This window comes from Homo sapiens, chromosome 9, assembly GCF_000001405.40.
Source record: "Homo sapiens chromosome 9, GRCh38.p14 Primary Assembly".
NCBI classification, from domain to species: Eukaryota; Metazoa; Chordata; class Mammalia; order Primates; family Hominidae; genus Homo; species Homo sapiens.
The window spans coordinates 32,338,657-32,352,588 of NC_000009.12; the positions used below are offsets into that span (position 1 = coordinate 32,338,657).

A 13,932-nucleotide genomic window follows, 5' to 3' on the forward strand; every position below is an offset into this window, starting at 1 on the left:
TGATTGGTCACAGAATTTAAGAAAATCTTCATTCAGTCCTACAGCTGGCCACTAAGCTAATCAAGCAGAGACTTCAGCACCACATAAAAGTAAACAGAGTATACATAATTAGTTCATGAAATATATTTTTAAAAGAATATTATTTTCAACAAATGGTACAGGGACAACTGGATAGCCAGTCACAGGCAAAAGAAGAAAGTGGACCCTACCTCACTCCATCTACAAAATTTTATTCTAATTATTAGAGCTAAGCCTACAAAACGCTTGGAAGGTCATGATGGTTATTTTATTAACAGGCGTCAACTTGGCTGAATTAAAGGATGCCTAGATAGCCAATGAAACATTATTTCCAGGCATGCCCATGAGGGTGTTCCTGAGGGATACTGGCTGAGTGGAGATTGGCCCTCAGTGTGAGCAGCACCATCCAATTAGCTGGGGCCCCAGATAGAACAAACAGGAAGAGGAAAGGTGAATTTGCCTGCTCTCTCTCTTTCTCCCTCTCTCTCTCTATCTCTCTCTGTCTCCCCCTTTCTCCCTCTCTCTCTTTCTTTGTCTCTCTCTCTCTCTCTGTCTCTCTTTCTCCCTCTCCCTCGCTTTCTCCCTCTCTCTGTACCCTGTCCTTGAACATCAGAACTCCAGGGTCTCTGGCTGTTGGCCTCTGGGGTTCGTACCACAGGACCCCTGCGTACTCAGGCCTTTGGCCTCAGACTGAGAGTTACACCACCAGCTTCCCTGGTTCTCCAGCTTGCAGATAGCTTATTGTGGGACTTCTCAGCCTCCAAAATTACATAAGCAAGTTCCCTTAACAAATCCCGTCATGTGTCTGTCTATCTATATCTCTATCTATGTATACCCATATTCTGTGTCTCTAGAGAGCCCTAACACAAAGATCATCATTAACAGCCTGCTGCTGACAGAAATAGTGGCAGCACCTGGCAGATGGAGTCCTGATGTTTAAAGCAGAAGAATTCACCTTTTCCATAGATGATTCAGCTGCACACAGAACAGGAAATATGTGTCCGTACAAAAACCTGCACACAAGTGTTCATAGTAGTTTCACTTGTAGTAGCCAAAAACAGGAAGCATGCCAAAGGTCCATCAGCAGGTAAATGGATAAACTGTGGTGTATCAATACATTAGAATACTACTCAGCAATAAAATAACTAACTACTAATATATGCAACAACGTGGATGAATCTCAAAGCAATTCTGCTGAGTAAAAAGAGCCAAACAGAAAAAGCACATACTGGATGATCACATTTATATAAAACTCTAGAAAATGCAAACTAGTCCATAGAAAACCGTTTGGAAATTTCTTAAAAAGTTAAACATATACCTACCATATAACCCAGCCATTCCTCTCCTAAAATTAAAATATATGTTTACACAAAGATTTGTGTACAACTATTTATAGCAGCTCTATTTATAATAGCCAAAACCTGACAATAGCCCAAATGTCTATCCACAAGGGAATAAACAATCTGTGGTCTATCCATACAATAGGATACCACTCAGCAATAAACAGGAATGAACACTTGATACACACAGCAATATAGATAAATATCAAAATATTTACACTGAGTAAAAGAAACCAGACAAAAAGGAGTACTTACTGTATAATACCATTTATTTTAGATTCTAGAAAATACAAACTAATCTATAGTGACAGTTGATCAGCATTTGCATGAGTTACAATAGCACCTGTGTCTTGCTCCACCTGTAGATCCACGAGTTAAATAAATGTCATTGTTCTAAGCCAGTGCATTTTAGGACGTTTTTTAGTCAGCTATAGCAGCTGGAACAGCTCCTTTCCTTCTTCCGCACCTCAATGGGGCCCACAGATGAAGTGCTGTAGCCAGGTCAGTCCTCCACAAAACCATGAAAGCTAACACTTTAATACCCTTAGATCCCATCAAAGGGTATTTGAGGCTCCCAGGCTGCCCTAAGCTGCCTCAGTCACGCCTACCCACCCAGGATGCCTGGCCCTCACATCAAAATCCTTTCCCAACGCTCTCTTCCCCACCACTACTTACTGTGTCACTGCACCTTCCCTCCACATTCACCTTTCTGTGTTCCTTTTGACCTGTGGCCACTCCTCCAGAGGTGGAAGCCCAGGAGTTCTGTGGCTCATAGTTTAAAGTGTAAGTTTACTTCAGCTCAAGAATTTGGGTACATTTTAAATGGAGCTTTTTGGAAACAAACACCTTATCCCAGAAATGAATTAGAGCTGGGAAATTCTGGAAAAGAAGGAGACTTCTAAGCCCTTTCCTCCTGCCTTTGATTGAACCACCTGGTCTCAATAGCAATAACCAGACAGCAAAATAGCTGCTTCTATACTTTACATTTTATGATTCCAGCTGTTTTGAATTAGAAAGTTGCACCATTATTGTTGCCCAAATACGTGCAGATTGCTCTGGTTGATTAAGCATCAATGGGTTTATAAAATAACTGAAAACAGTACAACATCCAAGTAGCAATTTCACCATCCACAAACTCAGCTTTAAGCAGCTAAGTTTTTTGACAGTAATAGAATTGGTGCAGTAATTTTTCTCATGGCCTAATGGAGTTCATGTAGATCTTAAGAGATGACTTTCATAAGGAAAGAATGTGGCTAAAGGCACACGGTACCCATTGAGTTCTTTGTAGTTTCTTGATACACTATCATTACCACAGCCTTCTCTATAAAACATTCCATGGGCTTTTTGACTGAGCCTCTGCCACTGAGCTTAGAACTTTAAAATAAGTGTTGCCGTGGAAGCAACAAATAACCTACTACCAGAGTGAAAAAGGAAAAGTTAAATTGCCTACAACTGTTAGTGTTTCAGGACTTTCTGCACCTTTTTTTTAAATTCATTTTTGCCAAGAATATAAGACCCTTTCACATATCTCTGACTACACTGGTTGCCATGGTTTTCTAGCTTTTGCTACTTCTGGAAATAAACAACCCATTAGATTTGTGTCATGGTTAATTTGTCCCTTTGCACAACACAGAGGTGATTTGTAGCCTGAAAATCAGCACAAGTTATCCTAAGTCCCCCATGGTGAAAAGCTGGCACCAGGACGTTTTAACTATATATATATATATGTGTGTGTGTGTGTGTATACATATATATATAATATGTAATATTATATATTATAACATGAATACTAGTTAAGAAGCTGACTTCATGAAAAGATAGGTATTATTTCTAATTAGTATGTCAATTGTACATGCTTCTGGAATTGCTAAATACAGTTTATTAATCCTTCATATATTTCCAATATTATCTGTGTATGAGTCCCTTTTGTCACAGAGAATGTAAAAATAAAAATTCCCCTAAATTGTTCCCAAATACCACAAATTCCAAAGTGATAGACCCCAGATGACTGAGGATTTTGAAAACCCACTTGAAAGTGGCAAAATTATCCAGGTGTTCTCTTTGGAGGCATATCAATTCTTTCAAGTCACTGAGAACCAGTCTAAAACCTGGAAGGTGTGAGTCTCCCCAAATACCTCAGGCCTACCCCAGTTTAACCTCTAACATCAGCCTCACCCAGTCCAGGGCCCAAAGAGAACCCAATCTGAAAGAATATAAATAGCTTCATAACCACTTGCAAAAAAGGAAGTTGGGAAACAGTTTATAATCTCCCAAAGGGCTGGGTCCTATTTTCTATCTAAATTATCTAAGAAACTTCTGAATAAAGGCTCTATTCCCTTTTGGTGTCATGGAGAACTGCTGCACAAAAATCTTCATGCTGGGACCTTCTCATCCACACACCCCACTCCCAGCCCACCCCACCACCACCACCACCACCATCACCATCTTTAACTCACGTGTACCCCTGCAGAGGGCAGAGGTTCTGCTTATTCATCTTTGTATCATCAGCACCTACCACAGAGCCTGGGCATACAAAACTTTCAAGTGTGTTGAAATAAATGGAATTTTTTAATGTGTTGAATGAATCGTAACTATATACCATCCTTAGTTTGCCTGTGACTAGTAATCATAAAGAGAAGTTTAAAAGGTCTAATTAGGTTAGGAGCAAAGGAGTTATTTTAAACTTTTTGAGTTCTATTCCATTTTGTATGAGGAGGGATAATTATGGAGGAAATCACATTCCCAACAAAAATTGTGTTTAAAAACAATTCTTTCTCCCAGCACTTTGGGAGGCCAAGGTGGGTGAATCACGAGGTCAGGAGATCGAGACCATCCTGGCCAACATGGTGAAACCCCATCTCTACTAAAAATACAAAAAGTACCTGAGCATGGTGGTGCGTGCCTGTAATCCCAACTACTCAGGAGGCTGAGGCAGGAGAATCGCTTGAACCCGGAAGGCGGAGGTTGCAGTGAGCCAAGATCGCCCCACTGTGCTCCAGCCTGCTGACAGAGCAAGACTCTGTCTTAAAAAAAAATCAAAAACAAAAAAACAAACAAACAAACAAAAATCTTTCAGGATTTGTAACTGGAAAGCAAGTTGAACCTGGAAATAAGGACTTGAAAGAAAGAGACAGTGAAAAGAGAGAAGAAAGAAAGTCATAAATGACAGCAATATCAATTCCTGGTGACTATCAAGAGCTGATTCAGCCATCGTTCTTCTGGCCAACTGAGCATAAACCAGTAAGTTGAGCTAGCAAAAAACAGAGGAAAAAGAGGAGTATGAAAATTCACTTTTACTAAAGGATATGCATGGGCCTGCAATCAGAACAACTTGAATGTAGCTAAGGAAAGATATTTGAGGGAATAGGTCAATGTGCTCAGCCCAGGCTAAGCCTAGTCAGTCTGATGGAAAAAGGGAGAGAATTTGCAAGGAGTGTCGTCAAGAAGCAGAACCTTCAGAAAGGTCACCTGCACCTAGGCCACGGGCCAATCCAGGTAGCCCTGAAGGGTTAAGACCACACATTAAGATTAGCTGCCTTCCCTGTTGGCTTCAGGACATAGACTTTATTTCCAATGTGCCCTGAATTAGTTTATTCTTTGAGTCAACATTCAACAGGCCCATGTGCAAAACCACTACCTGAGAGATGCAAGGAAAACTAAGGACTTCCAGAGCCTGCAGAGATCCTCTGGAGATGCACACAAGTAGCAACAACACAAAGTCCAATGGGGAGGCGTCGTAAGAGGGAGAAAAATGAAGTTCTACTTGATAAGAGACCTATTAATAACTATCTTCTAACTTGATTTTTATAATTCATAAGTGCATTGTCACTTATGACTTTCTAAATAGATATGCACAGTAGAAGGGGATTATGGGGTGTTGCTCAGGCTGGTCCCCCTACTTGGAACACGAGTCTCTCCTTTCTCTTTGTTACCTTCACGTTATCTTCAGGTCTTGATTCACAAGTCAGTTTCTCCAGAATATCTTCCTTGATCCTATCAAGGACCCTGCTACGTGCTCTACGTGGGACTTTCCTTAGCAGAGCACTTACTACATTGTATCCTAATTGTTTGCTTAATTTTCTGTCCCTATAATTAGATTAAATTCCATGAAAGCAGAACTGCACTTGGCTGGGTCACCTGAATCTCTGCTCCAGGTTTGGTGCATAGCAGGCACACAGAATGTTTTATGTGGATTTATCAATCAATTAACTCATGACACATTTAAAGGGCCTCAGCAACAGTCAAGATGGAATAACATTGAGTGGCCATACTGCTCATCAATCTAATTGAACATGAAAACAGATTAATTCAAATTTCCCACACCAAATATATAACTCAATGCAAAAGGCCCTGTCCCTCACATATCCAAAGGGGTTCACTGGTAAGGGCAATAAGTCATAGAAGAAATGTAAGTAGAAAGATCATTTGAAACCCCAAATTATTAAACATTTTTTATTCCTACTTTTAGTTTCTTCACCACAATACCTTTTAACAGAGTCACTAACAAAAAAGGAGGGGAAATCACGCACCGACTTTCCTCTCCTCCCTCATCTGCCTTCTGCCTTCTGGAAGCCTTCAGATGAGCTGGCAATAGCCAGAAGAATGAAGAATAAAGGGTGTGAATAACCCCTGCGCTTTAGCTTTCAGTTTCACTTTCTGACAAAGGATCAGAGTCTTGCCCAAGGCTGGAACAACCTGGGGAGCCTGCATTCAAGCTCTGTATTCAGGAAATAGTCAGCATTCTGCATCCCAGTCCTGGAGGCCCCCTGCTCAGGAAGCTTCCTCCCACAGGCTGCCTCTCCACCTAAGAACCGGGATACCTGGGACATTAGGTCCAACATCCATCGGCATCACAGGTATTGTCCACACTTGGACAGCCACTGAACATGCCTCTGAGTAGCAGTGTTACCACTGAGGGCGGTGGGGTGGAGGGGAAGAAAACCAGTGCTGCACTTTTCAATGGAAATGCTCTCGTTTGATCTCTCGTATCAGTGAAGGTTGCTTTTTCTGCAAACCTGTCACTGCATGTGATGCCTCTATTACATACACAGCCTCTGGCAACATGGACAAGGCTAAATCCCTGCCCCAAATCTAAATGTGCCAAAGCAGATCAAAATATGAGGTAGTGCTTAAGTTGATATGGACAGCAATTCACAGGCACTGACATCTAAGTTCTTTCTTTGTTTCTGTCAATTTCCAACCGGACTGCGGCAACCTAACTGGATACCCCATCACTACCCTCCTCCTTCTCAAACCCCATCTTCATTCCTGCTCCTTAAAACCATTATCACCACCAGAAACTACCCAGATCCCAGTACATCCTACAATGCTGATCATTGGATTCTAGCAGAGAGGCAATGGAAACACAACATGACATTTCCTGTTTCCAAACAGAGCCCAGGGAAAGCACCGCTCCACTGATAAATGCTTGCTTTCAGGCACTCCCAGCTACCCGCAGGTGGTTCATATGCATACCCAGTTGGAGAGGGACTCTTTCCAGTCTAGACCAGCTGCTCCACTAAGCCAGCCTCTGGTTGCCTCAGCTAAAAAATGCATCATCATTTTTACGACGATGCCCACAGATTAATAAACCATATGCAAAAAGACGGCCATCCAAATAATTAAGCTTCCTATTGCAGATATTGTAAAGTCATGACAGATCCAGGTGTGCCTGAAATTCTGGCTCCTTTATTCAGCACACTTACGAGCAGATAAAGTCTTTTGTTATAAACGTCAGGTGCCTTCTTAAAGCATAGTGACAAACCAGGATAAAATAACTTCCTTTGGCCTTTCACCCAGAATGCAAGCACTCCTCTCTGGGCAGGAAGGCACCAGTAGGATGACTATCAAAGCCCCCACCTAGAATAAATCTACATTTACAGAGGGGTGAGAACAATAACTGATGTTGAATCTTGTTGCATCTACATTTTGGGAGGTTTGGGAAAGAGGACAGAAGATAGACCTTGCTGGGACTGACTCTTTCAGCTTTTTAAAGAATAATGTGTTTCTTACTACAAAATTGGCTTATGCTCACTGTCGAAATACAGACAAGCATAGGAAAAAAAATAAAGTAGTGCTGATTCACTTTCCCAAAGTAATCACTGTTAAGATTTTAGTGCAATTCCTCCTTTCCCAATGCGTGCGTGTTGTGTGTTTTAGATTATGAGAATGAATTTGTAACTGGTATTTTTACTTAATAAAAACTACTATATTAATAATATTTTGTACATTTTTTTTTTGAGACGGAGTCTTGCTCTGTCGCCCAGGCTGGAGTGTAATGGCGTGATCTCGGCTCACTGCAGCCTCTGCCTCCCAGGTTCAAGCAATTCTCCTGCTTCAGCCTCCTGGGTAGCTGGGACTACAGGTGCCCGCCACTACACCTGGCTAATTTTTTGTGTGTATTTTTAGGAGAAATGAGGTTTCACCATGTTGGCCAGGATGGTCTTGATCTCCTGACCTCGTGATCCGCCCGCCTCGGCCTCCCCAAGTGCTGTGATTACAGGCATGAGCCACCGTGCCTGGCCATTTTGTACATTTTTTAAAGATAACACGTGTGGGTGCAAAAAAATAAAGCTAACATTTATTGAGCCAGCAACCTTGCTGTATTATCTCTCTTACTCTTCACAATACCTCTCTGAGTTAGATACTATTAGATTTCACCATATTATAAGTGAGGAAACAAAGACATAAGATCAGCTAAATGATGCCTCTCTTCTGCTTCTTCTCTTTTCCTTCTCCCCTACACCATCCTCCTACCAAGCAGAAAAAACACAGCTCTAGAGTAACCTTCTCAGATCTCCACAAACCAGGCTCACTGTGGCCCTGTGAAAACAGTCCCCAGGCAGCGCTCAGGACCAGCTCTTCAGAACAGAGCAAATGTGCCCATACTGCAGCCTTCGGGTTCCCAGAAACAGCTCCACTTTGCTACCCTGCTACACCCAGTGCTGGGCCTGGACTAGTTTTCTATTAATGTGGAAGACACAGCACCGTTTTCTATGCGGTGCTTACCATGCATCATTTTTAAGTAATGGTACATGACTACTATCTTTGTCTTGCTAAGACAAAAAAATCACATTCACCGTATCATCTCTTTATTTGGAGGTGTTTAATTTTGTTCTTTCCTGCCCTCTGTCTCTTGTCTGAAATTATTTTTCTCCCATTTCTCGTCTTTCTCATTCTATCTTCATTTCTGCTTCTCTTTGTGAGACACTGTTTGTTCTCCCTTCTTCTTTGGTTCTCTTCGTTCACTGCACCTCTTTCCCATCTCACCCTATTCCTCCCCACCCTCCCGCAAACCAATGAATGCTTTCTCAGCTTCATTTTCTGTAGACATCACCCTGCTGTCATAGGTCCTCTGCTTTTTCCCTTGGTCTAACATACTCATTTAAAGTCACTCCTGGTATATGGAGGAGCCAATGACACCATTAACTGACAAATCTCTACTCCATATAATGAAGGATGATAGAAAATTATCCCATCTGGAAGAAACTGCCAGCTATTGCCATACCTAATCACGCATTCCCTTGGCCAGGTGAAAGTCATCTCCCTGACTTTCAATCTGCATCCTTCCTTGATGACTTCCAGCTCTCATCTGTTCCCAATGCTGCCAAAACCAATGTGATATTGTTGGGTTAAAACGCCTTTCCTAGAGCCCCTCTGTTAGCTTGTTGCTTCACAACTTGGATTATACCCCACAAATGCAAATACAAGTAATATGTGCAAAAACATTACAGTTATTCTACAGGTACCATCTGGAGTCAGCTCTGCTTAGCTTTCTGACAAAGATCAAGATACTCCTAAGACATTTCACTGCAGGCCAATCTGCTATGCCTAGAAACCAGGCTGCCTTATTTCACTTGTCACCAATAACTGAGGTTTTGCCAGGAAGCAGAGGTTGCAGTGAGCCGAGATCATGCCATTGCACTCCAGCCTGGGCACAAACAGCAAAACTCCATCTCAAAATAAGCAAATAAATAAATAACTGAGGTTTAGAACTGAGGGCATTGCCAGCATTTTAGAGAGTGAGATGGGGTGGTCTGAAATGCAATTCCTTTTGCTTTCTGGGCTGACTCTCCAGCAAGACTTTAGGGAGCACTTGCTTTTCAGTGTGATTATATTGTCAGTGTCTCCAACTTCAGCTGTCTCTCCCCTGGCCCCCAATTTTCACACAGAAATGCTCACACACACAAACACACATTCATGCATATGCACACACATAAAAAATGTAGGCCCAGGATTCCAAAGATTTTCCAAATGTATTCACGGATAGAAACAAAGCACTGTTTATAATGGGTCTTTAAAAAAAAATTGCCACAATAGAAAATAAAGAAGAGAAGAGAAGGGAGGACTGAAAAGCCCCCATGAGACCAGTCTTCACATGCTTGCTGCTTTAGGGTTCTGAGTTGTTGGCAGCATCGCCGGAAAATGATGAATGATCCAAGATTACGTGTTGTGGCTACCCACGGAATTTGCTCTCTAGAAGTATATCCAATCCTGGCCTGTTTTCTGATGGTAACTTTGGGCAGGACAGTGTTGCAATGGGCCATGCGGGTCCCATTTGAATAATATAAGATCAAAATCGTGTTGTTGCTTTATCTCAACATACAGTCTCTAAGTTGAGGCTAAATGATAGTGGCACAACTCTGCTTTGCACTGAGCTAGGAAAGAATTTTGCATGATTTTCTCAAGGATGATAGAAAAGTGCAAAATATGTCAGGATACAAATACCTCACCTAAGACTGGGTGCACAGGGTTAAGACAGAGTCTATGGAGAAATCAGAAAAATAATTGATTTGGGAAAATCTCAAGCAGGTAGGAGTAAAAATCACAAGCAAAGTTTTTATATAGCTATTGCCAGCTATAGAAATAGGTGAACTATAAATTCTTCTGAATGTAGGTTTCCTAAGACAGCAGAGATAAAAATATTTCTAAAAATCCTTATACAGAGAAAGTCACTCAAATGAATACTTCTTAAGGGAGTCGATGCATTCAGAGGAAGCATTTGCTGACTAAAAGCCACATAATACACAGAGGTTGCATCCTGACAGGATACTTCTTAAGAGAATCCATTTGCGGCTCCAATATTCGGGGTCAGTAATTTCTCAGAGAAAGGTTAATGGAAACAAAACAGAATTCAGCGCACATTTTCTCAACCAGTGTGCAGAAATATAGGCAAAAATACACCCTTAGCATATCCTCAGGCTATAAAATGCAAAATTACTGCAACATTCTTTTTGATAGAGTTTGCAATCAATGCAATGGAGAACAAAGGGAGGTTAGATGGTGTGGGTGTGGGGAAGGTGCACATTTGTGTGTGTGGTTGGGCAGATGAACTCAATGACCTCTGCCACTTCCAGCCTGAATTTGCAATGATTCCATGTTTGAAGGCAAAGAATATGGATGTGAATAAACCAAGTGGTGGCTGGATAGAGCTGGAGAAATGTTCTCAGATAAACCTCCAGCCCCAGAAGCGGCTGTGAGAAATTTACACGTGTGTCACTGACTCACTAGAATTAGAGAAAATTGATCAAGAATGAAGCCATAAAATGTGATGGCTGTGGTCAGACCTTCCTTCTTGTAAAGAGAGGGAAACTCGATCTGGGCAGCAGTATTCTAGAAAGGTTGAGACAGTGGGAGCCTGGTTTGGGTTTCAGGGTCTAGGGCAGCCATGTTCTCTGGAACATCAGAGACAGTGAGGATCCCAACAAAGCATGCAAAGGACTAAGCAAGAAAAGATGACAAGAGAGAGCCTAAATTCACCAAGACAAAGGAGCCGTGGAGGTCTGGAACAGGAGGAAGGAGTGAACATGAGGCTGAAGAGAATCCTACTAGAGGGGGATGGCAAGGTGAGCCCAGTTTAAATGACTCGAAAAATACACCATGTACGTAAGAGACCACACAGATATCCAAGAGTAGCCAGAGGAGGTATCATGTGTCCTTCATCCAAGGGTAGTAGGTGGTTCAGGCTGGTCATGGACGGCTTTCGTCAAGGCTTCACAACCTGCAAAGCTCAGGCTAAGTGTTCTGCATGCAACATGTTATTTAATCTTCACAGCAACCTTCCATCTTTATCAAATCCTCAGTTAGAAAAATAGTATTTATGGAGAATTGATGGGTTCTAAATTGTATCCTTCAATTAAATTAGACAATCAGAAAGCTACACTCCAAGAAAGTGTTTTGGGACGCATAATGCTCACTCTGCCCCCTCCATCTTAAACTCTTCTGACAGAATAGCATTGCGGTGTTACCTATCAGCTGCTGTAGGAAGCAGTCATGTGAAAAGTATCATTGGGTGTAATGTAAGGAAATTACTTATCACCTTACACAATATCTCCTTCATAAGTTCCTAAAGGATATAATTCCTAGTCTTCATACTATATGGTACCTTTCCTAACACCTGGCTTGTTTTTCTGTTATGGACATTGGGTTATGCAACTGGTCCTGTTTCTCTATTTGCATTGACTGCTGGGAAGCTCCAGGCCAGATTTGTACCCCAACTTCATCCCATTCTTTTTTCTCTACTGTTTTAAATTTAAGCATGTTTTACCTTTTTTATCTTATAAAGTTTTGTACATTATTTAAAACACTTTTTGTACAGGCCATGTATAAATACAGAGATAAATACAAATGTACATTATCTAAAAGTGCTATGGCCAAATTTCAAAAACAGTACAGGCAGTAAGAGTTTCATGTACACTTAATTGAAATTAGTGAAATTCTTGTCCCTTGTTAACATTATGTCTTGTTAAAATTTATAAGTAACCCAGTTTTCCTGCTTCACATTTTTATTAAGGAAATTCATTTTCAACTTGCCAGAAACCTGAATTTCTTTATTCCTCTTAAGAGAAGGCAAGCCTTCTGATTTATGTGGAACAACTTCTCCATCTATTGGCACAATTTAATATTGCAAATAATAAATCTCTTGAAATCAAATGTTTTCTTGTTAGTCTATGGAGAAGTTTTTCCCCCATTAAGCCTCTCAAAAAGTTTCCACTGTAATAATTAAATATATCTCCCTTGCATTAATCCCTTTGCCTTCAGGATTTAATAAACTTATAGATATTAAATTCATGCATATCACCAGGAAGTTTCCAGAAGCTTCCTGGATCACCATCTCCACCTCCCAAGGGAAGCCAGGCCAAATTTTCCAAAATAAGATATAAAGTATGAAGCCATATTGTGCAAAGATTTAATCTAAAACAGCTTAGAATATGATAATCATTTTAAATCATGTTTAAGGGCTGAGTGAAGTATTAGAAACACCAACATTTCAATCCTCACTTTGGAATAGCTTACAAGTAACAAAACATATGAGTATACAAAGGGCCAGTCAATTTTATAAGTATGTATTCGACTAATACTGAAAATTGAGACTGAACCAGTCTTGCCATTCCTCACCCAACAACAAATCCCTACCTTCGAGGAACTAATTCTCTTCCTCTGACAAGGTAATCCTACCTTCTCTTAAACAAAACACATCATCCTTGAAATCTTTGAAACCATAAAATGTCTTCAAAATCCCCATGATGTTCCAATTTCTGTATGACTTTACACATCCATAGTAAATTCACTAATATGTACACCTCTTGTGTTATTACCCTGACCTGCACTTAAAACCCAACTCAAGTTACCTTTACCTTCATGACTTCATATGTAAATGAAAATAACAGTAATTCTTTTGTAGGATTGTGGTGAGGATTAAATAAGGTAATATTTTTTAAAATACCTAGCACTTTGTAGACAATAAATGGCAGATTTTTAATAGTAATTGTAGTTGTAAAAAGAAGAAAAGGCTTTGTCATACTTCCCCATAAGTACCTTGAACTCTCAGTCCTTCTCATATGGAATGTCTGGCCTGAAGAAACAATTGAAGAGGACTTGAAAGCAGGGAGGTTCACAAATAGCAAGAAATAATAAGGATCTTGATGAAGACTATGAAGCTTCCAACAGGAAGAGGAAGCAAATTTTAAGAAGCAGGTCCCCTCTTCCTCCTCCAGTCTCCCAGTCTCCCTCTAGTGCCCCCACTGGGGGAGACTTGCAAGGAGCAGCCAGCGAAGCAGAAATGAAGAGCGCTGAGTCCCAGCCACTGCAACACAAGGCAGAGGGTAGAAGGACTGCCTTGGAGCTGAGCAATAACAGCTTTTCACTGAACGGACCAGTAAAAAGTTCCTGGAGTCTGGTTTTGGGTCTTGCAAGGAAGGAAGCTTAGAAGTCACCACTGTCTCCTAAAGAGTAAAAAAGCTAGCAACTCTTCTTAGGTCTGTCAGAGAAATGAAGTCACAGGGCCGACCATTGCCCCAAAAATTGGAGGGACAGGCAGGAAGATACAGAGAATCACATGTCACTAGAGCAGAAACCTGCCAGCTGCAGCCTCCATGGGAAGCAGTGACAGGGCAGGAAACCTGAACTGGAATTGATGAACTGTGGGAGGCTCAGTTTGGGCAAGTCTGAGAGTTAAAAAATTCAGTGGAAACCAGTCAAGGGGTGTCACATATTTTTATGGGTTTTACCTCCAAGAGCCTTGCCAGATCCTCACAGTAAATATGGGAGAAAAATTTCCTCTTGCTTCCTGCAG

General features: G+C 41.1%; 1 long non-coding RNA gene across 3 annotated transcripts in view, besides 1 other annotated feature; it reads right to left on the reverse strand.

Moving 5' to 3' along the window:
* The window catches only part of LOC107987059 (uncharacterized), a 69,745-nt gene extending 56,377 nt beyond the window's left edge, over positions 1 to 13,368 (reverse strand). For 2 of the 3 annotated variants that reach the window (XR_001746645.2, XR_007061447.1), the window contains exon 1: positions 13,176 to 13,368. This is a non-coding gene — a long non-coding RNA (uncharacterized LOC107987059). Of the gene's footprint in view, positions 1 to 2,033; positions 2,678 to 13,175 lie in introns of those variants that run through there. The other variant, XR_007061446.1, reaches the window with a different exon arrangement.
* Positions 5,855 to 6,149: an enhancer, noted in NCBI's record as "tiled region #8424; HepG2 Activating non-DNase unmatched - State 24:Quies, and K562 Activating non-DNase unmatched - State 24:Quies". NCBI's record gives its function as "activates a minimal TATA promoter and a strong SV40 promoter by Sharpr-MPRA in HepG2 and K562 cells {active_cell/tissue: HepG2 | K562}" and the evidence as "EXISTENCE:reporter gene assay evidence [ECO:0000049][PMID:27701403]".
* Positions 13,369 to 13,932: the final 564 nt, after the last annotated feature.